This window comes from Homo sapiens, chromosome 7, assembly GCF_000001405.40.
Source record: "Homo sapiens chromosome 7, GRCh38.p14 Primary Assembly".
In the NCBI taxonomy this organism is placed as follows: domain Eukaryota; kingdom Metazoa; phylum Chordata; class Mammalia; order Primates; family Hominidae; genus Homo; species Homo sapiens.
Window position 1 is genome coordinate 100,801,104 of NC_000007.14, and position 26,421 is coordinate 100,827,524.

The window sequence follows — 26,421 nt, forward strand, 5'->3', positions numbered from 1 at the left end:
CGGGTCTTCACTCTTGGCCTCTCTGCTGCACCTCTGCAATGCCCATTAACCTTTCTTTCTCCAGCTACAGCTCTCTAGGACACCTTATCTAGCCCGGATGTCTGGTTGGCAGGGGAAGAGGGTGGGCCTGGGCAACATCCTCTGGATGGACCCCCCGAGTCCCTCCCACACCTCCTCAGGGGTACAAAACATGGGTGATGTGTCACCAAGGGAAAGGGGACAGAGAAGAGCCTGAGGGACTCCAGAAGAGGGCTGTAGAGGTGGGAAATTGAGACAAGCCTCCCTGGACCGGGAAGGGCCCCAGCTGTGATTTGGGGTCCAGCACTGACCCAAACACGTCAACAGGGGGCGACTCAAGTGCAGAAATGGAAAAAGGTTGGGCGCGGTGGCTCACGCCTGTAATCCTAGTACCTTGGGAGGCTGGGAGGGGAGGATAGCTTGAGGCCAGGAGTTTGAGATCAGCCTGGGCAACATTGTGAGACCCCCCCCAACCCGTCTCTACAAAAAATAAAAAAAATCAGCTGGGTGTGGTAGTGTGTGCCTGGAGGATTCCCAGCCACTCGGGAGGCTGAGATGGGAGGATCCCTTGCGCCCAGGAGTTCAAGGTTACAGTGAACTATGATCATTCCACTGCACTCCAGCCTGAGTGACAGAGTGAGGCCCTGTCTCAAAAAAAAAAAAAAAAAAAAAAAAAAAAAGAAAAAGAAAAAGAAAAAGCAATGGACCAGGTTAAGCCAGGCTGGTCCTTGTCAAGACCTGCCCCTGCAGGTGCCCGGGGGGAGGCCAGAAAGATCCCTGGAGAAAAGGACACAGAAAATGGCAAGAAAGAAAGCGGGGCATTTGGAGGGGTAAGTTGGGGGAAGACAGGAGGTTCCCCCTCCCCTTTCCAAGAGGCAGGGAGAACCTGCCCGGGCAGCATCTTGAATGGGAGAATTGTCCTCGGCGCGCGCTTATCGCTTGTGTACACACGTGGGGGGGTCCCTTCTTCCCTTCCCCCACAGCCAATGCAGACACTCTCCCCGCACTGCCTCTAAATCTACCCCAGCTGTCAACATCTGGCCCCCATCTGTGTCCATCCACGGAACCCCCTGCTCCAGCTCCTGCCCCAGCCTCCCTCTCCAGTGGCTGTCGGGCAGGGCTGGGAGCTCAAGGCCTTCCCTCCCTCTCCTGCAGCAGCCTCTGGCCAGGACTGAGGAACCAGGACAGGGGAGGGAGGGGACAGCCCCACCCCGGAGGTGCCCCAGGCTCTTGGCAGAGCCAGCTGGAGACGTTAGAAGCAGCTGCGAATGATTCATCTCGCTCGGCCCCCACCCCACCACCTCAAACATACCCTGGGGCTGATAACCAAGTTCCAGCCCCTACAGCCCTGCAGCCTCCAGACCTCTGACACCTCTCGGTCAGCCACAAAGCCCTCCCTACCCAGCCCCACTCTCCTTAGAAATCTAGTCCATCACCCCCATCACCCCTGGAGCTGGGACACGTCCCATTTTCTTTTATTTATACAAAAAGTTACTTTTTTAAATATAATTTAAGAACCCCTCCAAGCACCGGCGTCCGTTTCTGGGTTCCACCACCAACTACCGCCCTTTTCACTACCTCACCCCACACCCCTTCATAGGACACAGCTTGGGGGTCCCAGGCGGGGTCCGGGGATGTGGGATGACCAAGGCACTGTTCTGGAAACAGACATGATGATGGGCCCCTGTTTCAACTTGGGCAAAGGAGGCCATAGTGAAACAGGTTCCCTCCAACACAAAGTTATGACAAGGACGGTAGAAAAACAAAACGAAGAAACAAAAAGGGAACGGGGAGAAAAATTAAGACCAAAAACAAAACTCAAAAACCTTCAATATGAAGGCAGCAGCTGGGGGAGGGGCATTTACAAGGGAAAAAAATGATTGAGTTTGGTGGTGACAGCAGCAAGTTGGGACTACAAACCCCAATGATTTTGTCACTGGGCCCTGACACCCCTTCTTGCCCCCTGGGACAGCCCCCCCACTCTGGAGCTGGCAAGGGAGTCACACTCTCTTTGGTCTGCGGGAACGCACCCATCAAGGTGAGGGGGGCACCTGGGGAGGCTGGGAGATGTTGGGCACTTCCTTTTCCTCTGGTCACACCCAGTCCTGAGGGAAAGGCGCCCTCACCCTTGGTCTGGAGTTCCCCGAGGTGGCTGGGGGGTGATTTTCCCCTCCTATTATGGCAGAACCCCCAAATCCTGTCTCTCCAAATTGCCAACTCCTCACCCCACGGGCTCAAAGTGCAATCCAGCGGGGCACAGGGCTGGGGGCCTCTGTGAGTCCCCACTCTGCCCCGGAAAATGGGGAGGCGGTGTCCCTGGGGTGGGGAGTTCCTGCAGGTCAGTACTGCGGGGCCGGTCCTCCTGTCCCACCCGGGGTTCCCGGCTTGGCCTGGGACTTCATGTGCTGGACACTGGCCAAGATTTTCTTCTGGTGTCCCGCCAGAGTGACTCCGATTCGGAGCAGGTCCCTGCAGAAGGAAAGGAGAGCTTGGTGAGACCCTAGGTTCCCTGTGGCCGCTCTCCTCTCTTGGCTCCTGAGACGGTCCTAGCCTCAGGATTGTAAGCCAATCAGAAAAGCCAGCGGGGGAGGGAGAACAGATGTCAACAGTTCCCGGGCAGTTTTTTTAAGAGCTGGGCAGCCATCCTTCTGTGCAACCGCAGAAGGGGGTAGGGCTGGAGGCCAGAGGCAGGGCCTTTGGCTTGGGTGCCAGGGAAGGAAAGAAAAGAGAGAAAAGCCCGCAAAATGAGACTGGGGGAAGAGGCTGCACAGATTGCCGTAGAGGGAAATGGAGTGTGAGAAAGAAAAGGCCGAAGTGGGAGAGGAAGAGCTGGGTGGAGAGGAAGAGGAGGTTGCTGATGGCTGGAGGCTGAGATAAGGGGAAAAAAGGGAGAGGAGGCCCCCTGGGTCAGAGAGAGGCTGGGAAGAATTAGGGAGGGATGTGCCCAGGCCCCGTGGGGCAGGGGCAGACTGGCCTGAGACCCTCTGGCTCTAGCCTCCTGAGTAGCTGGGACCACAGGCACGCACCACCATGCCCAGCTAATTTTTTTGTTTTTGTTTTGTAGAGATGGGGTTTTGCTATTTTGGCCAGGCTGCTCTCAAACTCCTGGGCTCAAGCAATCGGTCCACCTGAGCCTCCCAAAGTGCTGAGATTACAGGCGTGAGCCACCACCTGGCCTTCACATTTCTTTTTTTTTTTTTTTTTTTTTTTTGAGATGGAATTTCACTCTGTCATCCAGGCTGGAGTGCAGTGGTGCGATCTCGGCTCACTGCAACCTCCACCTCCCGGGTTCAAGCGATTCTCCTGCCTCAGCCTCCTCAGTAGCTGGTATTACAGGCACGCACCACCATGCCCAGCTAATTTTTGTATTTTTAGTAGACATAAGGTTTCACCAAGTTGTCCACAATGGTCTCGAACTCCTAACCTCAAGTGATCTGCCCACCTCGGCCTCCCAAAGTGCTGGCATTACAGGCATGAGCCACCATGCCCGGCCTTCAGATTTCTATTCCTTCTATTTCTGTTATTCAACCTGGGGTGAGAGGAGATCTTGGGAGAGGAACGGGAAGGCAGAAAGGGGGAGTAGCAGACAAAGGCCAAGTGGGGATACGCAGCCTTTGGGAGGCAAGGAATCATAAAACCATTTCACATAAAAGCTGAAGAGGATCTCCAAAACCTAGCCCAATCTTCTCCTTTTATGGTTGGAAAAAGAGAACCCGAGTTGACACATTGTTACCGTGAGAGCCGGGCCTGGAATGCAGATAGATGCACAAAGATAGCTAGAAGTGAGAGGCGGAAGCGCGATGGCCCAGGGCTGTGATGGCAGGAGGAGGTGAGGCGGGCAGGCTGGCCCCAAAGAGTCCTTGGGTCCTCAGCTCCATGGGGCTGTGACTGCTCCTCTGGGGCCCTTCTAGGCATGGCATGAGCGCAGTGCAAGAAGACAGCATTGGCACCCGAAGCTGACCCCAAAAGCCCCTGGAGACCCCGTGGGCCTGACTCCAGCTGCCCCGCTCTCCCAGCCCCACTCCAGCTCCTGCCACTGCTTACTCAGCAGAGATCTGGCTGACCAGCTCGAAGGAGCCAAAGCCAGCGGCTGCGAAACTTTCTTCGTATCTTCCCATTTTGATGGCCCGAAGCCACTCGCCCACAGAGCCAAAAGCTGAGTAGTGAGGCTGCCGCTGGTCCAGGAGAGGGTGTGAGGCCCTAGGGGGCAAGGATGGGGAGGAATGCTGAGTACCAGGCCCAGGTCCGGGGGAGGAGGTGGAACCCAGCCTTGCAGAGGCGGACAGAGGCCCTCCCACCCAACACCAATGAACGGACACTTCTGGGCAAGGAGTGGGGGCAGAGAGCGGGAAGGAGGGCCCATTCTCTGCAGTCCTCACCCGCCATTCTCCCGGGCCACGATTTTGAGGCTGGCGGGGTTCCGGATCATCTTGTCCAGGGCGCTGACCACCTGGGGGAAGCGGGGCCGGGCATTCCGGTCTTTCTGCCAACAGTCCAGCATGAGCTGGTGGAGGGAGGTGGGACAGTCTGGGGGCGGGGGCAGCCGGTAGTCCTGTTCAATGGCATTGATCACCTGGAAAGAGGGGAAGAAGCTCTGGGTGAGGCTGTCCAGGAAAAGCAAAGATGCTAACAGGCCCAGGAAATGGTGACTTGGAAGATGGTAGGATAGGAGCCACAGCCCCCCAAAAAATAACAGATCCAGGAATCCTCCTAGCCGGAGTTGAAGCTCTCTGTGGCTGAAGGCCCCAGCAGCTCTTGGGCTATGATACAGACATGTTACCTCTCAACCCTGCCCTCCATCTCTGCATCCTTCTGCGACCCAAATATGCTGTACCCAACTCTTTTATTTATTTATTAAGACAGAGTCTCGCTCAGTTGCCCAGGCTGGAAAGCAATGGCGTGATCTCAGCTCACTGCAACCTCTGTTCCTGGGTTCAAGCGATTATCCTGTCTCAGCCTCCTGAGTAGCTGGGATTACAGGCACCCGCCCATCATGCTGGGCTAATTTTTTGTATTTTTTTAGAGACGGGGTTTCACCATGTTGGCCAGGCTGGTCTTGAACTCCTAACCTTAGGTGATCTGCCCACCTTGGCCTCCCAAAGTGCTGGGATTACAGGCTTGAGCCACTAGGCCTGGCCCTGTATCTCAACTCTTTGATACAAAGATCAATTCTCCTTTTTGTCATCTCCATGGTCTCAAGAACCCAGCAGTGATGACTCTCTGGGAACCCACCCTTCACCCCAAATCCCAGGTGAGAGAACACTCGAGGAAAGCTTGGTAGGACCACGGGACACTTACGTCCTGATTGCTCATGTCCCAGTACGGCCTCTCCCCAAATGACATCACCTCCCACATCACAATCCCGTAACTCCAGGCATCACTGGCGGAAGTGAACTTCCGGAAGGCAATGGCCTCCGGGGCAGTCCATCGGATGGGAATCTTTCCTCCCTGCAGAAAAAGGAGAAAAGGTGAGCTGGGGGACTCACTGAGGGACTCACCAGACCCAGCACACTGCCCCCCAGTCCCCCACCTGCCTCTGCTTTTTCCCCCTAGCTCAGGCCCCAAGCCTCCTACTCTCCAACTCTGTTTGCCCAGGTTGGAGTGCAGTGGTGCGATCTTGGCTCACTGAAACTCCGCCTCCCGGGTTCAACTGGTTCTCCTACCTCAGCCTCCTGAGTAGCTCGGATTACAGGCGTGTACCACCACCCTCAGCTAATTTTGTATTTTTAGTAGCGACAGGGTTTTCCCATGTTGGCCAGGCTGGTCTCGAACTCCTGACCTCAGGCGATCCTCCTGCCTCAGCCTCCCAAAGTGCTGGATTTACAGGCGTGAGCCACCACACCTGGCCACTGTTCTTTTGAGACAGGGTCTTGCTCTGTCGCCCAGTCTGCAGTACAGTGGCACATTCATAGCTCACTGCAGCCTCCAACTCCTGGGCTTAAGCAATCCTCCTGCCTCAACCTCCCAAGTAGCTGGGACTACAGGTGCATGCCACTGCGCCTGGCTAATCTTTTAATTTTTTTGTAGAGATGGGGTCTTGCTATGTTGCCCAGGTTATCCAACTGTTATTTTCCTAGACATCTGGAAGTCGGCTTCCTGGAGCTGACTGTCCCCCCACCCACAGCCTGCTCCTGTATCCTCTCCCTGGAGCAGGGCTGCCAAACCCTCAGCCTCCCACCTTTCCAACCTGCCCTGCCCACCTGGCCCTAAGAAGCTCACACCCAGTATTACCCCCAGCATTACCAGGGAGCTCGTGTAGGTGGGATCGGAAGAGTTCTCCTCCAGGAATCGGGAAAGGCCAAAGTCAGACACTTTGCAGACGAGGTTGCTGTTGACTAGGATGTTGCGAGCAGCCAGGTCTCGGTGGACGTAGCTCATCTCGGCAAGGTACCGCATGCCCGAGGCGATGCCCCGCAGCATGCCCACGAGCTGGATGACTGTGAACTGTCCGTCGTTTAGCTGGAGAGCAGATAGGGTGGGGGCTTGGTGAGGACAGCCCACCCACCGTTCCCCCTCCCATCCACATCTTTTTTTTTTAGAGACAGGGTCTTGTTCTGTCGCCCAGGCTGGAGTGCAGTGGTGCCATCATAGCTCACTGCAGCCTCAACCTCCTGGGCTCAGGCAAGCCTCCTGAGTAGCTGGAACAATAGGCATGTGCCATTATGCCTGGATAATTTTTTAATTTTTAGTAGAGATAGGTTCCCACTATGTTGCCCAGGCTGGTCTTTAACTCCTGGCCTGAAGCGATCCTTCCGCCTGGGTCTCCCAAAGCACTGGGATTACAGATGTTGAGTCACCGTACCCAGCCTCCCGTCCACTTCCTAAACTGCATCTGTCACTTCCAGACCCACCTCACAACTCACCTGTAGGGCAAGCCCCCCAACTCCCTCAGGTGAGCCTTCCTCCTTTCTCTTTTCCCAAGTTTTCTCAGCTCTTGCTACAGTATCACAACACATTGCTTACAATGGTTCCTGCTTCAATGGTAAGCATTCAGTCTCTCCCAATCGGATTATGAGTTGAAAAATTATTTCAACTTTTCCTTCCATTTAACCTGGTACACTGCTTTATACCCAGGAAATACTCAACAAATGCTTTTCTGTTTTTTAGTTTTTTTAGAGACAAGGTCTCTTTCTTTCCCCCAGGTTGGAGTGCAGTGGCACGATCATGGTTCACCGCAGCCTTAAACTCCTGGGCTCAAATGATCCTTCTGCCTCAGCCTCCTTAGTAGCTGGGACTATAGGTGCACACCACTGCACCTGGCTAATTAAAACAAAGGGGTTTTTTTGGTAGATATGGGGTCTCACTGTGTTTCCCAGGCTTGTCTCCAACTCCTGGCCTCAAGCAATCTTCCCACCTTGGCCTCCCAAGGTGCTGGGATTACAGGCATGAGTCACCTGAGCAACCCGTCTACAGGTGGAGATACATTGGTGCTGATCCAACCACAAAGCTGTTCAGCTCTCTTGGACTAGCTGTGTATGGATTTGCAAGAGAAGAGTGAGGAACTGCAGTATGACCAATGATCGGTGCAAAAACCAAGGTCTGAAGCCCAACCTTGACCTTTAAAGAGTTTGCTCTCACCAGGGAAACCAACAAGTCACAGACAGTAAACAAATCCCGTATTCTGGGTTCCGCTAAGATTTGGCAGACCATCTGCAGCCCTACAGAACCAGGGACATAGACTCCAAAAACTGAATTTTGAATCCATCCTCCAGACCTGCACCTGCCCTACTCCCCGCTCAGTTTGTGGCAACACCACCACTTGCCAGATGGTCAGGGTATAGACCTCAGAGTTTCCTTTGACCCCCTTTTCTCCCTCACCAGCCACTTCCAATCCATCAGCAAGTTCTGCTGGTGATGCTTCCAAGACATGTCCCAAATCCAAACCCTTCCCTTCACCCCACGGCCTGGATGCTGGCAACAGGCTTCTGCTGCAGGCCTCTCCCAGCTCCTGCTCTTGCTCCCTAGCACCCAGCAAAGAGGTCTTTTTATTTATTTATTTTTTTGAGATGGAGTCTCGCTCTACTGCCCAGGCTGGAGTAAAGTGGCGTGATCTTGGCTCACTGCAACCTCTGCCTCCTGAGTTCAAGCGATTCTCCTGTCTTAGTCTCCTGAGTAGCTGGGATTACAGGGGTGCACCACCATGCCTGGCTGGTTTTTGTATTTTTAGTACAGACAGGGTTTCACCATGTTGGCCAGGCTGGTCTCGAACTCCTGACCTCAAGTGATCCACCTGCCCCGGCCTCCCCAAGTGCTGGGATCACAAGTGTGAGCCACTGTGCCCAGCTGGGATCCTCTTAAACTACTCTCCTGCCAAAGCCCTCCAGCGGGTTCCCGTCACACTGCCCAATGCAGCATCTACCATCTCTCCTCTGTTCACCAGTTTCACCTGTGCTGGTCTTCCCATCTCTCTCTCTTTTTAAGAGATGGGATCGCCCAGGCTGGAATGCAGTAGTGCAATGATGGCTCACTACAGCCTCGATCTCCCAGGCTTAAGTGATCCTCCCGCCTCAGCCTCCCGAGTAGCTGGGACTACAGATATGCACCATCATGCTCTGCCCATTTTTGTATTTTGTGTAGAGACGGGGTTTCACCATGTTGCCCAGGGTGATCTCTAACTCCTGGCCTCGAGTGATCCACCAGCCTCAGCTTCCCAAAGTGCTGGGATTACAGGTGTGTGTCACTGAACCTTTAAGACCCTTTCTGTCTCTTCGACCAGGCACGGTGGCTCACGCGTTTAATCCCAGCACTTTGGGAGGCCAAGGAGGGTGGATGGCTTGAGGCCAGGGGTTTCAGATCAGCCTGGCCAACATGGCGAAGCCCTGTCTCTACTAAAAATACAAAAATTAGCCGGGCATAGTGGCTCATGCCTGTAATCCCAGCACTGTGGGAGGCTGAGGTGGTGGGCAGATCACGAGGTCAGAAGTTCGAGACCATCCTGGCCAATATGGTGAAACCCTGTCTCTACTAAAAATACAAAAATTAGCTGGGCATGGTGGCACTCGCCTGTAGTCCCAGCTACTCAGGAGGCTGAGGCAGAAGAATCTCTTGAACCCAGGAGGCGGAGGTTGCAGTGAGCCGAGATTGTGCCACTGCACTCCAGCCTGGGCGACAGCAGGACTCCATCTCAAAAAACAAACAAACAAAACCAAAAAAACCCCACATCAGATAGAGCTTCTCTTACAGGAAATACAGAGAGACAAGCTAAATGATCCCATAAGAAGAATTTCATAAATCCAGAAATCAAGACATTCAGGCGGACAAGGGACCTAACCCTTCAGTGTGTCAGTGTCATCATGAGGAACTGCTCAAGATTTAGAGAGGCTCGAAAATATAATAATCAGCAGGCGTGGTGGCTCACGCCTGTAATCCCAGCACTTTGAGAGGTTAAGGAGGGAGGATCGCTTGAGTCCAGGAGTTTGAGACCAGCCTGGGCAACATAGCGAGACCCCCATCTCCGTAAAAAATTTAAAAATTAGCCAGGTGTGGTGGTGTGCACCTGTAGTTCCAGCTACCCAGGAGGCTGAGGCAGGAGGATCACCTGAGCCAAGGAGTTTGGAGGCTGCAGTGAGCTATGATTGCACCACTGCACTCTAAACTGGGCGAAAGGGCAAGACCTTGTTTCTAAAATAAATAAATAAAATATATATAATAACCAGGTACAAAGCCCGGTCTTGAACTGGATCCTGGTTGGAATAAAGCAGCAGTGAAGGACATCTTTAGAACAACTAGAGAAACGTGAAAATCAACTGGGTATTCAATGACGCTAGGGAATCGCTATAACTCTGTTCAATGCAATGTTATTTTGCTACATAGAAAAATGTTTTGATTTTTTTAAAAAGATGCCTAGGCCAGGCATGGTGGCTCATGCCTGTAATCCCAGCACTTTGAGGGGCCGAGATGGGTGGATCACTTGAGCCCAGGAGTTCAAGACCAGCCTGGGCAACATGATGAAACCCTGTCTCTACTAAAAATACAAACATCAGCTGGGTATGGTGGTGCATGCCATGCAATTCCAAGCTACTCAGGAGGCTGAGGCAGGAGAATCACTTGAACCCAGGAGGTGGACGTTGCGGTGAGCCAAGAACGCACCACTGCACTCCAGCCTGGGTGACAGATGGAAACTCCATCTCAAGAAAAAAGAAAAGCTTAATAAAGTTAAAAAAAAAAAAAAAGTCAGTAAAATCTGGTAAAGTGACCAAATAAATTAAGCAGTTCTCTTTCCTCTCTAGCCACATCTGCATGAAGGACCCCGTTTGCTTTTTTTCACATTTGAAATGATTTGTTTACTTTTTTAAAAAGCCTGTCTATTTACTTGCTAATTTTCAGTCCCCCTGCCCCATTAGACCCTCTGCTCCCCAAGAGGAGAAATCCAGTTTGCCGTGTGTATAGCTTTATTCCTGGGGACTGGGAGGATGACCGGTGCGTAGAAAGCACTCAGTAAATATTTGTCAAAAGAAGGAATGACAGGCCAGGCACAGTGGCTCATGCCTGCAATCCCAGTGCTGTGGGAGGCTGAGGAGGGAGGCTCGCTTGAGGCCAGGAGTTCAGACCAGCCTGGGCAACCTATCGAGATCCTGTCTCTACAAAAAATTTTAAAAATTTGCTGAGCATGGTGGTACATGAGTGTAGTTCCAGCTACTCAGGAGGCTGAGGCGGGAGGATCACTTGAGCCCAGGAGGTCAAGGCTACAGTGAGCTATGAATGCACCACTGCACTCCAGCCTAGAGGACAGAGTGAGACTCTGTCTTAAAAAAAAAAAAAAAAAATTGGCCGGGCGCGGTGGCTCACGTCTGTAATCCCAGCACTTTGGGAGGCCGAGGCAGGCGGATCACCTGAGGTCGGGAGTTCGAGACCAGCCTGACCAACACAGAGAAACCCCCGTCTCTACTAAAAATACAAAATTAGTCAAGCGTGGTGGCACATGCCTATAATCCCAGCTACTGGGGAGGCTAAGGCAGGAGAATCGCTTGAACCTGGGAGGCGGAGGTTGCGGTGAGCCAAGATCTTGCCATTGCACTCCGGCCTGGGCAACAAGAGTGAAACTCCATCTCAAAAAAAAAAAATTCAATTAAAACAAAATTAAAAAAAAAAAGAAGGAATGACAACCTTCAGCTGTATGGGGCAGTGGGAAAGGAAGGTCCCAGGAGCCCAGCCTTTCCCAGAGGGAAAATTAAAGGCAGAGGGCTGGCCAGGCGTGGTGCCTCACACCTGTAATACCAGCACTTTGGGAGGCTGAGGTGGGGAGATCACTTGAGGTCAGGAGTTTGATACCAGCCTGGCCTACATGGTGAAACCCTGTGTCTACTAAAAATACAAAAATTAGTCAGCATGGTGGTGCATGCCTATAGTACCAGCTACTTGGGAGACTGAGGCAGGAGAATCGCTTGAACCCTGGAGGTGGAGACAGCAATGAGCCGAGATCGCGCCACTGCACTCCAGCCTGGGCGACAGAGCGAGGCTCTGTCTTAAAAAAAAGAAAAGGCAGAGGACCAGGGCTTAGCCCAAGAGGAAAAGGCTGGAGGAGGTGACCTGGGACCCACTGTCTGTCCTGGCTTCTTAACCCAAGTGGCCTCTGGGTGTAAGTGGGAACTCCGGGTGGCCGCAGAAGCCAGGGAGGGTGCTCACCCGCAGGAAGGAGTCCAGGGCGCCGTTCTCCATGAACTCTGTGAGAATCATGACGGGCATGCTGTTGGTGACCACGCCCTCCAGGCGGATGATATTGGGGTGCTCGAACTGGCCCATGATGGAGGCCTCGCTCAGAAACTCACGCCGCTGCCGCTCCGTGTAGCCACCCTTCAGGGTCTTGATTGCCACACAGCTCTCCTTCTTCCCTGGGGCCTTGAGCCGCCCCCGGCACACCTCGCCAAACTCACCTTCAAACAAGGACGCAGAGGTCATCAGCTCTCCCGCTCCAGTGTGGCCCTGCCCACCCCCGCTTCGTTCCCAGGTGCCCGGGCAGCCTTCGGCTCTCACCTGCACCAATCACCTCTTCAATCTTGACGTAGGAGACATCGATCTCTTTTGCAAATTCCCTCACAGCCTCATTAGGGTCTTCATAAGTGAAGGGGTCGATGTAGACCTTAGTACCTGAGAAATCAGGCAGGGCCCCGTCAGCTGGGAATTAACTCCCACTGGACTCGGAGGCTCGGCTCATAGCTTTTAGCCCCAAACCCCTGTCTCCGTGGTTTTTTTTTTTTTTTTTTTTTTTCCTGAGATGGAGTCTCGCTCTGTCACCCAGGCCTGGAGCGCAGTGGCGCGATCTTGGCTCACTGCAATCTCCGCCTCCCGGGTTAAAATGATTCTTCTGCCTCAGCCTCCTGAGTAGCTGGGATTACAGGTGCCCACCACCATGCCTGGCTGACTGATGTATTTTTTATAGAGATGGAGTTTCAACATGTTGGCCAGGCTGGTCTCGAACTCCTGACCTCAAGTGATCTGCCCACCTCTGCCTCCCAAAGTGCTGGGATTATAGATAGGAGCCACCACACCCGGCCCCAAGCCCCTATTCCCATCAAATTAGGGCAACCCACCATGTCCGATGAGATACTGTCCGTGTTTGTCCGAATATTCTGCTTCTCTCCCATTGCTCTGCTTCCTGTAGCCGATGGGAAAGGAACAAAAGGTAAACTGAGTCACACATCTTTATGAGGCACACACACCAAAGGAAGGAGCAGGGATTGGAGAAGATTTCAAGTAAAAAGAGGCTGGGGACAGCCAGAAAGGCTTGTCCTGTAGCACCCAGGCAGGTGGCCATCAACTGAGGGCTTCCAGGGGCCTCTGGGTGTCAGAGCCCTTACCTGAGGCAGAGAACTGCGACCACAATGACCACCAGGACCAGGACCACACCCACGACTGCCGTGCCCGCAATCAGGGCCAGCTGCTCCCGCCAGCCCTCGCTCTCTGCGGAAGGAAAGGCTGCTGATCAGGAGAAACTGATGGTCCTGTAGGAGGCCCCAGCCCCGGCTTTGAGCAATGAACTGTGATCTCCTGAGAACAGGTCCCCAGTACAGGGGACAGGTGGAGGGAGAGGACACAAGCAGGCAAGGTCAGGGAACAAACAGTGGGTTTCAAACTCTCCCCCAGGGGCCAGCAGGCTCCTCTGAAGTACCTCAGGGCAAGGGAGGAAGTTTCGAAATCTTTTCTTACTGCCAGAGTAATTTTTTGTTTGTTTTTTTGAGACGCAGTCTCACTCTGTCGCCCAGGCTGGAGTGCAGTGGCGCAATCTCAGCTCACTGCAATCTCCGCCTCCCGGGTTCTGCGATTCTCCTGCCTCAGCCTCCTGAGTAGCTGGGATTACAGGTGTGTACCACCATGCTCGGCTAATTTGTGTATTTTTAGTAGAGATGGGCTTTCACCAGGTTGGACAGGCTAGTCTCAAACCAGCCTAGGCATGCCCAGCCGCCAGAGTGGTTTTGATTTGGTTCTAGTATAAATACCAGAGTCCACAAAAAAATCTCCATTCAATGAAACGTTCTAAAGGTGAAACATTTTCAGGTTTTTATCCAAAAAGTCGATACAATTGAAATGTTCACCAAAAGATACAATAAAAAACAAAATCAGCTATTTCCATACAACTGATTATTACGTCTCCATAAAAAGAAATGAAATATTGGCCAGGAGCAGTGGCTCATGCCTGTAATCCCAGCACTCTGAGATACTGAGGTGGGAGGATTGTGTGAGGCCAGGTGTTCAAGACCAGCCTGGGAAACATAGCAAGACCCCGTCTCTATCAAAAAATAATAATAATTAGCCAAGCATGGTGGTGAGCACGTGTGGTCCCAGATACTCAGGAGGCTGAGGTAGGAGGATCGCTTGAGCCCAGGAGTTTGAGGCTGCAATGCACTATGATCAGACCATTACATTCCAGCCTGGGTGACAAAGCAAAATCGTGTGTTCAAAACAAAAACAAAAAACAGGCCAGGTCCAGTGGCTCATGCCTGTAATCACAGCACTTTGGGAGGCTGAGGTGGGTGGATTGCCTGAGCTCAGGAGTTCGAGACCAGCCTGGGAAACATGGTGAAACCCTGTCTTTACAAAAAATACCAAAAAAAATTAGCTGGGCATGGTGGCTCATGCCTACAGTCCCAGCTGCTTGGGAGGCTGAGGTGGGAGGATCACTTGAGCCTGGGAGGTTGAGGCTGCAGTGAGCTGTAATTGAACCACTGCACTCCAGCCTGGGTGACAGAGCGAGACCCTGTTTCCAAAACAAACAAAAAACAAACCACAACCAAAAAAACCCACGGATATATACTACAACATACATAAACCTTGAAAACATTCTGCTCGGTGAACAGTCACAAAAGACCACACTGGAAGATTTCAAGACAGAAAGTGGGTTAGTGCTTGCCAGGGACTAAGGCAACAGAAAGATCTGGGTGGGGGGTGATGGCTAAGGGCTATAGGGTCTCTTTTGAGGGTGCTGAAAATGTCCCAAAATTACTTGTGGTGGTGACTGCACAATTCTGTGAATGTATCAAAAGTCATCGATTGTACACTTTGAACAGGCAAATTGTATGGCAGGGGAACTGTATTTCAGTAAAGCTATTACAGAAAATTACAAGGTTTAGAAAGCCACTGGTCCAATGCTGGGTGTGGCGGCTCATGCCTGTAATCCCAGCACTTTGGGAGGCCGATGCGGGAGGATTGCTCGAGGTCAGGAATTTGAGACCAGCCTGGGCAACATAGGGAAACTGTCTCAACAAAACATAAAAAAAAATTTAGTTGAGCACGGTAGCACATGCCTATAGCCCCAGCTACTTGGGAGGCTAAGGTGGAAGGATTGGTTGAGCTCGGGAGTTGTAGGCTGCAATGAGCTATGATGGTGCCACCGCACTCCAGCCTGGGTGATAAAAAAGACCGTGTCTCTTAAAAAAAAGAAAAAGTTAGGCCGGGCGTGGTGGCTCACGCCAGCAGTCCCAGCATTTCGGGAAGCCGAGGCGGGTGGATCAGGAGGTCAGCAGATCGAGACCAGGAGGTGGAGCTTGCGGTGAGCTGAGATCGCGCCACCGCACTCCAGCCTGGGCAACAGAGTGAGACTCCGTCTCAAAAAAAAAAATGTGAAAGAAAAAAGAAAGCCACTGGCCTAGCATATTAAAAATAACCTGTTACCTCCAATCCTCAAAGCCCTGCAGGAAGCTTCATGATATTCCCATTTTGTTGGATGGGGAATGGGGAGCTCAGGGGTCAGGTTGTTGCTAAAAGTCAAGCCTGCGGTGAGCTTTTTTTTTTTTGAGACAGAGTCTTGCTCTGTTGCCCAGGCTGGAGTGCACTGGCACAATCTCAGCTCACTGCAACCTCCACCTCCCAGGTTCAAGCGATTCTCCTGCCTCAGCCTCCCGAGTAGCTGGGATTACAGGTGTGCACCACCACGCTCAGCTAACTTCTATATTTTTAGTAGAGACGCGGTTTCACCATGCTGGTCAGACTGGTCTCGAACTCCTGACCTCAAGTGATCCTCCTGCTTCAGCCTCCCAAAGTGCTGGGGTTACAGGGTGAGCCACTGTGCCTGGCTGTGCAGTGAGCTTTGATCGAGCAACTGCGCTCCAGCCTGGGGGTACAGAGTGAAGCAGGCCAGACTTCACAAAACTCAGCTGTTGGTTTTGGTTTCGACATCTTACGTTCTCTCCTCTCTAGGGCATGCCATGTGATCCACAGGAAGAAGGACATGAAGATAGGACTTTGACCGGGTGCAGTGGCTCATGCCTGTAATCCCAGCACTTCGGGAGGCCGAGGCGGGCGAATCACAAGGTCAGGAGTTCGAGACCAGCCTGGCCAACGCGGTGAAGCCCCGTCTCTACTAAAAATACAAAAAATCGGCCAGGCGCGGTGGCAGGCGCCTGTAATCCCAGCTACTCGGGAGGCTGAGGCAGGAGAATGGCTTGAATCCGGGAGGCGGAGGTTGCAGTGAGCGGAGATGGTGCCACTGCACTCCAGCCTGAGGGACAGAGCAAGACTCCATCTCAAAAAAAAAAAAAAAAAAAAAAGATGATGGGACTTTGGAGACCTGGGGTCTTCCCAGGAACTTTGGGGGTCTTTCCAACCCCCACCCTCACCCCCTTCCCCAGGCTCACCATCCAGTTGGGTCTGGCTGTGATGTTCCTGGCCGAAGGGCCCGTAGCCGGCCTCAGAGCGCGCCCGTACCTGCACCAGGTAGCTGGCTCCCCGCTTCAGCCCCCGCAGCTCTGCCCGGTTTTCTGACGTCTTCAGGAACCGCACGCTGCTGGGACCCTCGGCGCCCTGTCCGGGAGAGGTAGTGGGGTGGCCGTCACCCGGGAACCCAAGTTCCTGTTGCTCTTCCTGCCTCCTTCCCTCGCCCTCCACTCCCATCACTAGCCTGCCTTGCAACTGGTGAGGCCTTTGGGAGAACTTACGCATGCAAGCCATGTGCTGTATTCATAATATCATTCCTTTTTTTTAAGACAAGGTCTCACTTTCTCAGGCTGGAATGCAATGGTGCAAACACGACTCACTGCAGCCTCGACCTCAAGTCGAGAATCACTTGGGTTCCAGTGATTCTCCTGTCTCAGCCTCCTGAGTAGCTGGGATTACAGGGGCCCGCCAACACACTCAGCTGATTTTGCTATTTGTAGTAGAGACGGGGATTTCACCTTGTTGGCCAGGCTGGTCTCGAACTCTTCACCCCAGGTGTTCTACCCACCTCGGCCTCCCAAAGTGCCGGGATTACAGGCATGAGCCACTGTGCCCAGTCTAATTTTTTTCATTTTAAGTATTTTTTGCGTTTTTTTTTTTTTTTTTTTTTTTTGGAGACAGAGTCTTGTTCTTTCGCCCAGGCCGGACTGCAGTGGCGCTATCTCGGCTCACTGCAAGCTCCGCCTCCTGGGTTCACGCCATTCTCCTGCCTCAGCCTCCCGAGTAGCTGGGACTACAGGCGCCTGCCACCGCGCCTGGCTAATTTTTTGTATTTTTAGTAGAGATGGGGTTTCACCGTGTTAGCCAGGATGGTCTCGATACTCCTGACCTTGTGATCCGCCCACCTCGGCCTCCCAAAGTGCTGGGATTACAGGCGTAAGCTACCGCGCCCGGCCCATTTTAAGTTTTTTATAGAGATGAAGTTTCACCATGTTGCCCAGGCTGGTCTCAAACTCCTAGGCTCAAGCATTCTGCCCGCCTCAGCCTCCCAAAGTGCTTGGTATTACAGGCGTGAGCCACCGCACCCAACCTCAGCCACTGTGTCCAGCTGCTGGTAACTATTACAGTAACTATTTTATAGATGAAGAGTCTGAGGCTCAGACAGGCCAAGGGGCTTACCCAAGGCTGCCCAGGGAATCCATGGCAGAGCTGGAATTCAAATGCCTGCCAGGTGCCTGCAACCCAGGTGTCCCAGCCAGGAGAGCACAACCCATTGCCCACCCACCCCAGGGCTGGGGGATGGCCTTACCTTCTCATGGTATTTGACCTCGTAGTCCAGCACAGCCCCACTGGGTGCCCGGGGAACAGCCCAGGCCAGGCTCAAGCTGCTGGGTGAGGACCGCGTCACCCGGATGTCAGACACTGCAGGAGGTACTGTGAGAGGCAGAGACACAGGGAACCCTTGTGCATGGTAGCTCTGTCCCTTAACTTAAAAAAAATTTTTTTTTTCGAGACGGAGTCGTGCTCTATCACCCAGGCTGGAGTGCAGTGGCGCAGTCTCAGCTTACTGCAACCTCCGCCTCCTGGGTTCAAGCAATTCTTCTGGTTGCTTCCCAAGTGGATTACAGGTGCCCACCACCATGCCTGGCTAATTTTTTTATTTTTAGTAGACATGGGGTTTCACCACGTTGGCCAGGCTAGTCTTGAACTCCTGACCTTGTGATCAGCCTGGCCATGTCCCTTATCTTTTCCAACACTTCCTCTGCTGGCTACACTTGTCTCAATTTCCCCCTGGCTGTTTCGAGAATTCCTTCTGATTCTCTCTGGCCCCAGTCCCACTGGGGGCCTTCCTGTACTTAACTCTCCAGCCCAGCTTTACGAGCTCCTCACCCTCTCTTTCTTATTCATTTATTTTGAGAGAGGATCTCACACTGCTCTGTCACCCAGGCTGGCATGCAGCGGTGCGATCATAGCTCACTGCAGCCTCCGACTCCTGGGCTCAAGCAATCCTCCTGCCTCAGCCTCTTGAGTAGCTGGGACCACAGGCATGCACCACCTCGCCTGGCTAATATTTTTATTTTTTGTAGAGAGATCTTCCTATGTTACCCAGGCTGGTCTTGAACTCCAGGGCTCAAGTGATCCGCCTGTCTCAGCCTCTGAAAGTGCTGGGATTACAGGCGTGAGCCACTGCGCCCAGCCATTGCCCTCTTTCTGCCTCTTGCCCCCAAAGCCTTAGCCCCTCACACTTCCGGGGTACCCAACTTCACAGCCCCTGCCTCTCCCCTTCAGGCCCTCAGTGACATCTCTCCCGCCAGACCACCAGCCGCCCCAGCCCCCAAGTCTCACCCTCTCGGTCAGTGGTGACATTGACAGGCTCAAATGGGACGGGCCCCGTGGCTAAGGAGGATACCCCGTTCAATGCAGTGACCTCAAAGGTATAGGTGAAGTCAGGACGTAGCCCTCGAACCACCACCCAGGGCTCCACCAGGTCCCGGGGGCCGGGGTCAAAAGTCAGGTCTCCCCCGCAGGGCGCACAGGAGCCTCCGGGTCGGCACTCCCGGCAGCGGAGGGCGTAGGTGAGGTCCTCTCGGCCACCAGACTCCAGGGGGGCACTCCATTCCAGGTGCAGGGAGGAGCCGTTCAGGCGGGAAACCACGCTCCGCGGAGCCGAAGGAGGGGCTGCAGGAGACCAGGGAGTCAGGCAGAGGCCGACCTGCTCTGCGGTGGTGGGGAGAGGGCAATGGAGGCACCAGCAGCCATGCTGGACTCTTGCCTTGGAGACAGTGGGCTCCACATGTTCCTCCGGGCTAGGGACAAGCATGCCAGGGACAAAGGGAAGAAGCCCAGGGAGGATGGGGGCCATGTGAGGGTCCACCTCAGAGGTCTGTGACCCCTCCCCAGTGAACTGCACCTGGGTGCTGGTCACTTACTGGTGCAGGGTGCACCCCGGGGGTCTGTGCGTGCCCGGAAGTACCCGACGCGGCACTGGCAGACGGCTGATCCAATGGTGTTAGAGTGGCTATTGGCTGGGCATGGCTGGCAGGACCCTTCTCCTGACAGGGGCTTGAAGGTGCCCTGGGCACAGGCTGAGAGAGAGAAAGCATTCATCAAAAGCATGCACAAAAACATCCATCTGCACGGTGGGCTCGGTGGCTCATGCCTCGAATCCCAGCACTTTGGGAGGCTGAGGCTGGAGGATCGCTTGAGCCAAGGGGTTCAAGACCAGCCTGGGCAACATATCGAGATCCCATCTCCAAAAAAAAAAAAAAAAATTCCAGCTTCTTTTAAGGCTGATGAAGTGCTAAGGTGGGAAAATGGACAAAAGATCTCAAAACCTTTCCTCTTAGAGGAGAAAGGAGACTCTCTCCAGAGAAGGGGTCCTCACCTGTTTCGACCCTGATCTCGGCAGTCTGGTGAAGCCCACAGAAAGACCTCTACTCCAACTTATGATTTTAAAAGCACTCCACAAAATACATAGGAATACCAGGGAAACCAATTAAGCTGAAATGCAATGAAACATGAGGAAAAAAGTTTGGGCTACAGCAACATTTGTGCTTCTTTCTTAACATATAGCAGCAAGTCTCCTAACATCTGTGATACTGAAGTCACCATGAGCAAAAACAATCTTTTGGCACTTGGAATGGCCTGTAAATACCTGTGATTTTTTTTTTTTCCTGAGAAGGAGGCCAAAGAGGGCAGATCACTTGAGTTCAAGACCAGCCTGGCCAACATGGTGGAAACCTGCCTCTACTAAAAATACAAAAGTAGCCGGGTGTGACGATGCATACCTATAATCCCAGCTACTCCTTGGGAGGCTGAGGCAGGAGAATCGCCTGAACCCGGGAGGTGGAGGTTGCGGTGAGCTGAGATCCCACCACTGCACTCCAGCCTGGGCAAAAAGAGCGAAACTCCTTCTTGTTGGAGTGCACTCCCAGACCGGAGTGCAGTGGCATGATCTCGGCTTACCGCAACCTCTGCTTCCTGGGTTCAAATGATTCTCCTGCCTCAGCCTCCCAAGTAGCTGGGATTACAGGCATGCGCCACCATGTCCGGCTAATTTTGTATTTTTAGTAGAGACAGGGTTTCTCCATGTTGGTCAGGCAGGTCGCCCAGATAATTATCTAAAAAGTTTTTGTAATCCGGGTGTGGTGGCTCACACCTGTAATCCCAGCACTTTGGGAGGCCAAGGCGGGCAGATCATGAGGTCAGGAGATCGAGACCATCCTGGCTAACACGGTGAAACTCCATCTCTACTAAAAATACAAGAAATTAGCCGGGCGTGGTGGCGGGGCCTGTAGTCCCAGCTACTCGGGAGGCTGAGGCAGGAGAATGGTGTTAACTTGGGAGGCGGAGCTTGCAGTGAGCCGAGATCGCACCACTGCACTCCAGCCTGGGCGACAGAGCAAGACTCTGTCTTGAAAAAAAAAAAAAAATTTTTTTTAGAGACGGGGTCTTGCTCTGTCACCCAGGCTGATCTCGAACTCCTGGGCTCAAGTGATCCTCCCACCTTGGCATCTCAAAGTGCTGGCACTATGGGCATGAACCACTGTGTCAGGCAATACCTGTGATTTCCATGGGGCCCAAGTGTCAGGTCCTGCTACAACTGCAGGTGGAATTTCAAGTGGAAATTAATGAATTTCAGGTGAAAATAAAGTCTTTTTTTTTTCCAGCTGGGTGTGGTGACGCACGCCTGTAATCCCAGCACTTTGGGAGGCCGAGGCGGGCAAATCACTTCAGGTCAGGAGTTCGAGACCAGCCTGGCCAACATGGCGAAACCCCGTCTCTACTAAAATACAAAAATTAGCCGGGCGTGGTGGCGTGTGCCTGTAGTCCCAGCTACTCACGAGGCTGAGGCAGGAGAACTGCTTGAACAGGGACCCGGGAGGCAAAGGTTGCAGTTGAGCAGAGATTGTGCCACTGCACTCCAGCCTGGGTGACAGAGCAAGCCTCCATTTCAACATCTAACTATACAAAATGGAAACTTAAGAAGTGGGTCCTGAGTGGAGTTCAGGACTCTCCCCCGGATGAGCAGCAGTCGCAGGGGAAGCTCCAGCTCTCACCTCGGCACTTGGTGTTCCCCTCAGCTGCCTCGAACCCCGGAGCACAGCTGCAGCCCGTGACCGGCTGTTCGGCCCACTGGCCATCCTCACGGCAGTAGAGGCTGGGGCTGGGGCCAGGGGCGGGGACGGCATCCACCACGCAGCTACCGGCCACGGGCACAACCAGCTCCCGAGGCACAGTCTCCGGGAATCGAGTCAGGTTCACAGTCAGCTGGGCGCACTTTTTGTAGAAGAGGTGCAGGGATAGCAGGGCCATGCAGGCACCCTGGTCCTGGAAGGCCAGGTAGAAGCCAGCCTTGCTGAGCGGTCCCAGACGCAGCGTCTTGACATTCACCTTCCCGGTGGCCTCGGCCCCAGGGCGCTTCCGGGTGAGATGCTCCGCGGCCACCGTGTCCACCTGCCGGCGGGGGGGAGGCACACCGCTGCTGTCCCCACTCCCTGAGGACCCAGCGGACTGTTGTGTTCTTCCCAGCTCACCCTCCCGGACCTCCTTGGTTCCCGTTCCAGAATCTTCCCTCCACCTTCCCCAGGGCACACTTTCTGCAGGCCCCCACACTGTCCATTCAGCCTTGCAAAGCTCCTGCGATATGCCCGGCCTCTGGCCTGCACCTCTCCCCCTTTTTATTCACTCGTTCTACAAACATTTACTGACACTGACGCCATGCCAGGCCTTGACCTCAGAGTCAAGGAGACAGCGATGAATGAATCCTGGGGAAGTTATAAAGTACCATGAGGCCGGGCGTAGTGCCTCATGCCTATAATCCCAGCACTTTAGGAGGCCGAGGTGGGAGAAATCTCTTGAGCCCAGGAGTTAGAGACCAGCCTGGGTAACGTAGAAGACCCCGCTTTAAAAATATAGATATAAAAGAAAAATAAATAAAGTAAAATGAGTGCCGAGACAGGCAGGTGGACAGAGGTATGCAGGATTGTAGGGAGGAGAGAGTCAGCCAAGGTGGCACAGGCAAGATCTCGGGAGCTGGAACTCCGAAGACAAGTAGGGGTGTGAGAGGCAGAGAGGCCCCCAGGTGGAGACATCACCGCTGCAAAGTCTTGAGCTGGAAACCAGCCAGGTGCAGTCAGGGAATGGGAGAAACTCAGTGTGGCTGGAGCACAGTGGGGTAGGGTGGTTGAGGTGACTGGAGGAGAAGCCTGACCCTTGGGCCTCCCTGGGGGCCGGGCCAGGCAGCCCCCGTATATTCTGCTCCTCCGCCCAGAAGATCACCCCCTTCCCTCCCCAGACCTAAGCCTCCTGCTTCCAGCCCCCAGCGCGCGGGCCAGAGGCCTCGCAACTACATCGGCTGCCCTCCAGGCCACGGGCCTGCTGGCTGGAATCCCACCTTGGCTGTGGCTGAGCCCTGGGGGCACCCAGGTACCTTGATGTAGGGGTTCTCCATCCAGGCTGGCGTGAGGGCCGTGGCCGTGTCCGCATCGCTCTCATAGTAGAAGACGGTGAAGGTCTCCTTGCAGGAGCGCCCAGCCCGAGGCAGGGACAGGCACTCGAGCATGGTGAAGCGCAGCGTGGCGTACACGTGGACGGCGCCCCGCCGTGGGACCCAACCTGTGCGAAGCCAGTGGGCCTGGCCCGGGGCACGCTGCACGTCACACACTTCGTAGGTGCGCACGCTGTGCTGTTCCTCATCCAGGCCGCTCAGTTCCTCCCACTGTGCAGAGAAGGAGGTCAGCAAGGGGGCTGGGGAGCCGCCAGGGAGAGGGCTGCATGGGGTGAATCCTATAAAGTGAGAGGGACTGAGAAAGGGGGGCTGCTGGTACTGCGAGGAGGGCGCCTCTGAGAAGGGCTCAGACGACACTGCTGGGGCTGCTGTCATCTGGGGGGACAGGGGAGAGGAGTGGCACACAGAAAGCAGGCGGCACAGGCGCCCTCTCCTCCCTCAGTTTCCCTCCAGAGCTCCAGCTCCTGGGTGCAGCTCTCACCTGCCCGTCCACCTGAGGGAATGTCACCCACTTCAGATCAGCAGTTTCCAATTTTGTGTTCAGCAGGGTCTCTGAGACAGACAGAGAGACAGAGTCAGTGCCTGGGGTGGGGGAGGGAGGTCAGGAAGACCAGATCCCTGGGAACCGAGGCAGGTGGATCCTCTTAGCTCTGAGCTAGAGGAGTTGGGGGGCCAAGAGGGGAGCAAGCCCTGCCCTCTGCACCCGCCTGATTTCTGGCCTCTTCTGCTAAGTGCCAACCCCACCCCCAACATCTGGTAGGCATGGGGCTCCCTTGGGATACCCCAGATCTAGGCCTCCCTGGAGGAGGGAGGGAGATCAAAATGTACGGGGAGAAGGGGCGGCAGCTCAGAAAGGGTTAAAATGAGAGCTGCGCCCTGGTCCTGACCCCCACGAGCAGAGGCTGCTGGTGTGGGAGGGGAACCTCTTGTCTCAGCCTCCACGTTTCCTCCCCTAAGTCCCAGAATCAGCCTCTCTACCCCACAATTTCATTCCCTGTCCAAGACCCCTCTCTGCTTTCAGACCAAACACCCCGTCCTTCCCTCCTTGAAGGGAGCGCTCCGTGCCTGGGGCATAGCCCTGGCCCCCATCCCAGTACCTCCCTCCCCACGAGTGCCCTGATCAGGAAGCACTGGAGGTCGGGATGCTAGGGTTCCCAGGCTCCCGCCGAGGCCTCACATCTGGATTTGGTTATGGGAAGGCAGAGGGGAGGAGATTCTGGGGGGCGGTATGAATGGGAGGGGTGAACACACCTGGCTTGGCTCGGATCATCGGGGGAGGGGACAGGCACTGGAGGAAGGGGGGGGATTAGGAAAAACTGCACAGCCCCTGGCAGTGGAGAGTGGAGGAGGGAGGGTACAGGAATCCCCTCGGGGGCCGGCAATGTGGGGGGCATTGGGCGCTGGGAAGGGTGGAGAGGGGAGCCAGAACACCTGGCTCCCACCCCATGGGAGCTGCAGGAGAGAAGAGAAAGAGGGTGGGTGAGGCAGCCTCTTCCTGGGGACCAAATGATGTCCTCCAGCTAGGGGTCAGATGGGAAGCCAGCCAGCCTGAGGTGAGAGGCGCAAGGTCCCCATGGGTGGCAAGAGACAGCCCTGCTCACTGGGGACAGGATGCCCGGGTTCTGGGAAGGGGGTGGATAGAGGCTGCCGTCTCCACCCTCCATTGTTCCAGCCGGGATAGTGTTTTCCTGTCTCCAATTTACACACTGTCTCTGCCTCGGGCTGTCCGCAGCCCAGAGCAAGCGCAGGCTCCCTTTCTGCGTCCCAGCTCAGCTGCAGCCACGCTTTGATCTGTCAGTTCGCATGTCTCTCACCTATCTCTCCTCCACTCTCTGTCCACCTCCGTTTCTCTTTCTGACAGTCACTATCTCTCCTTCGCTTTCGGCCTCCACTTCTCGCTGTTCCTCGCGGCACAGGGCCTTGGATAAACTACTTAACCTTAACTAAGCCCCAGCCTCCTCATCTGAAAAATGGGGGCAATAATAGCACCACCCTTAGCGTTGCTGGATGGGTGAAATTAATATTTGTAAGGCGCTCAGCACAGGCCTGGTGCTTGGAAACACTCAGGTAATAGGTGTCACAATCACCATTTCCTCTTTGCGTCTTTCCTTCTCACCACACCTCGTCCTCGTGGTTTTTCCACCCCTTTGGCCTTCCTCTTCCCCTCGTTCATGGTTTTTGTTCCCCCTTCTCCGTTCTCTGAGCTGGGCAAGCCTCCCCTCACTCCCAACCCCACACCTAGCCTTTGATCCCCAGCCCAGGGCAGTCCTGCCCAGCCAGGGGGAGAGGGTTTTTCTAACGCCGCTGAATCCTTCCCTTTGGGAGTCCCTCATAGCCTACCGCCCCATAACCACTTTCATACCAGACAGAGAAAGGGGGGTGTTGGCAGCTCACTGAAAGGACATTAGGGACACAGGAGAGTTTCTAGGGCTCTTGGCTCCCCCTTTAGGGGACCAGGAGGGACAGCGATCCATGGCCAAAGAAATGCTTGGAGAGACCAGGAGGTGGGAGATAGACTGGGTTAGTTAGGGCGATGTGGGGGCTGTGTAGGTCAGTTTCTACCTGGGGGCTGTGTAGGTCAGTTTCTACCCGCTCCTAGGTCTCAAGGGAAGCCCGGGACTCACCTGGGGCCGGGGTCTAGACCGCATTTAAAGGGATGGGGTGCAGCCTGTAGAAACCAAGGAGCCACCCTATACCAGGGGCAGGAGCAGTGGGCGGGAGAGCGGTTTGGGGGTTTGCTGTGTGAATGCAAAGGAGGCCATCCTGTTGCAGGAGTGTGGAACTGGAGGATCAAGGTGTGATCGCTAAGGAATTGGCGCTGGGGGTCGTTTTAGGGCCTAGCACGAAAAGTTGTGCCTTGTCTGCTGTTGCTTCTCCAGAAACCTTCCCTCATGTACGGCGGGAGGTGGGACTGGGACAGAAACTTTGCAGATAGTTTTGAATAGTGGGGTAGGGAGGAAAGGAAAGGCAGCCAGGGGCGTATGTAATCAGCAGTGAGAGTTCGGGGAGCCCGGGCAGGGGAATGTCCCGGGTCGTAGCCAGACTCCATCTCTTTCCCAAACAAAAGAAAACTCCACTACCCGTCGGGCGCCTCTTCCCCGCCCCCCTCCCGTTCCAGCACTATCGGTCCGAAGTGTTTGGGACTGCAGTGCCCGGGTAGGGGTAGTCAGAGGCCGGCCCCTCCACTCCGAGGCCCAGATGTTGGGGGGGAGGTCCCAGGAGTGACGGGGTGCGCCCCCCCCCGCAAGGAAACTCACCTTCCAAAGCTGCGGCCAACGAAGCCCAGCAGAGCAGCACCCGGAGCTCCATGGCGCCGCCTCACTCGGGTAGGATCCGAACTGAGTTTGGGGGGCCCTCGCCCCCCCAGGTCTGACTCTCCCTGGGCGGGTGGACGCCGATACTCCGCGCGGGACTCCTCGTCGGGGCCCTCAGCGCGGGCCCATGCGAGCGTGCGGGGCACCGGGCGGCGGCGCCAAGTGTGGCCCCGCGTCTGTGCCGCGCGCGCGGGCGGCGGGCCCGGAGCGTGCTGGCAGTGGCCGCGCCGGGCGGGCGCGCAGCAAGACGTGGCTGGAGTTGGGGTCCCTCCGGGGCCTCGGGGTCCCGCCCCGGGTGGCGGGGGCTGAGCCGGCCGCTCGCGGTCTCCCCCCCTCCCTGGAGTGGCTCTGCTCGCGCCGCCGGGCCGAGTGCTCTCCTCGCGGGCGGGGATGGTGGGAGCCCGAGCGGGGACGGAGCGGGAGGGAGGGAGACTGCGGCGCGGAGCCGGGCGGGCCGGGCCGGGCAGGGGCTGAGCTGCGCTGGAACTG

General features: G+C 54.9%; 2 protein-coding genes and 1 pseudogene across 5 annotated transcripts in view, besides 7 other annotated features; 1 reads left to right on the forward strand and 2 right to left on the reverse strand.

The window, feature by feature from the left end:
• Positions 363-1,066: an enhancer, noted in NCBI's record as "H3K27ac-H3K4me1 hESC enhancer chr7:100399088-100399791 (GRCh37/hg19 assembly coordinates)". NCBI's record gives its function as "activates a minimal SCP1, AML or CMV promoter by ChIP-STARR-seq in naive and primed H9 embryonic stem cells {active_cell/tissue: H9 hESC(naive and primed)}" and the evidence as "EXISTENCE:reporter gene assay evidence [ECO:0000049][PMID:30033119]".
• Positions 1,067-1,769: an enhancer, noted in NCBI's record as "H3K27ac-H3K4me1 hESC enhancer chr7:100399792-100400494 (GRCh37/hg19 assembly coordinates)". NCBI's record gives its function as "activates a minimal SCP1, AML or CMV promoter by ChIP-STARR-seq in naive H9 embryonic stem cells {active_cell/tissue: H9 hESC(naive)}" and the evidence as "EXISTENCE:reporter gene assay evidence [ECO:0000049][PMID:30033119]".
• On the reverse strand, positions 1,462-26,420 carry EPHB4 (EPH receptor B4). Of its 2 annotated transcripts, none has more exons than NM_004444.5 (17): positions 25,876-26,420; positions 23,100-23,170; positions 22,541-22,828; positions 21,168-21,564; positions 19,038-19,193; positions 18,454-18,786; positions 17,417-17,541; positions 16,089-16,254; positions 12,816-12,918; positions 12,549-12,613; positions 11,992-12,105; positions 11,644-11,891; positions 6,262-6,477; positions 5,317-5,466; positions 4,398-4,591; positions 4,063-4,218; positions 1,462-2,487 (listed from the first exon to the last, which is right to left on the reverse strand). In NM_004444.5, exons 1-17 carry the CDS (start codon positions 25,925-25,927, stop codon positions 2,358-2,360), a joined length of 2,964 nt encoding a protein of 987 aa, NP_004435.3. In that variant the 5' UTR covers positions 25,928-26,420; the 3' UTR covers positions 1,462-2,357. The 2 variants fall into 2 exon arrangements, with proteins under 2 accessions (NP_004435.3, XP_016867305.1); XM_017011816.2 differs by having other exon boundaries at positions 17,417-17,595.
• Positions 3,624-4,339: an enhancer, noted in NCBI's record as "H3K27ac-H3K4me1 hESC enhancer chr7:100402349-100403064 (GRCh37/hg19 assembly coordinates)". NCBI's record gives its function as "activates a minimal SCP1, AML or CMV promoter by ChIP-STARR-seq in naive H9 embryonic stem cells {active_cell/tissue: H9 hESC(naive)}" and the evidence as "EXISTENCE:reporter gene assay evidence [ECO:0000049][PMID:30033119]".
• Positions 4,340-5,055: an enhancer, noted in NCBI's record as "H3K27ac-H3K4me1 hESC enhancer chr7:100403065-100403780 (GRCh37/hg19 assembly coordinates)". NCBI's record gives its function as "activates a minimal SCP1, AML or CMV promoter by ChIP-STARR-seq in naive H9 embryonic stem cells {active_cell/tissue: H9 hESC(naive)}" and the evidence as "EXISTENCE:reporter gene assay evidence [ECO:0000049][PMID:30033119]".
• Positions 4,340-6,175: a biological region, named in NCBI's record as "CDK7 strongly-dependent group 2 enhancer GRCh37_chr7:100403701-100404900".
• Positions 4,976-6,175: an enhancer, noted in NCBI's record as "CDK7 strongly-dependent group 2 enhancer chr7:100403701-100404900 (GRCh37/hg19 assembly coordinates)". NCBI's record gives its function as "activates an origin of replication core promoter dependent on BRD2, BRD4, P300/CBP, MED14 and CDK7 cofactors, with strong dependence on CDK7, by STARR-seq in HCT116 cells {active_cell/tissue: HCT116}" and the evidence as "EXISTENCE:reporter gene assay evidence [ECO:0000049][PMID:35650434]".
• Positions 13,996-14,495: an enhancer, noted in NCBI's record as "H3K4me1 hESC enhancer chr7:100412721-100413220 (GRCh37/hg19 assembly coordinates)". NCBI's record gives its function as "activates a minimal SCP1, AML or CMV promoter by ChIP-STARR-seq in naive H9 embryonic stem cells {active_cell/tissue: H9 hESC(naive)}" and the evidence as "EXISTENCE:reporter gene assay evidence [ECO:0000049][PMID:30033119]".
• Positions 19,924-20,161, reverse strand: RN7SL750P (RNA, 7SL, cytoplasmic 750, pseudogene; annotated as a pseudogene).
• The window catches only part of SLC12A9 (solute carrier family 12 member 9), a 40,144-nt gene continuing 39,488 nt past the window's right edge, over positions 25,766-26,421 (forward strand). For all 3 annotated transcript variants that reach the window (XM_047420627.1, XM_047420628.1, NM_001363494.1), the window contains exon 1: positions 25,766-25,944. Coding sequence is in view for 1 of the 3 variants with exons in the window: in NM_001363494.1 (NP_001350423.1) it covers positions 25,926-25,944 (19 nt within the window). In the remaining 2 variants the exon portion in view is untranslated. The remainder of the gene's footprint in view (positions 25,945-26,421) is intronic.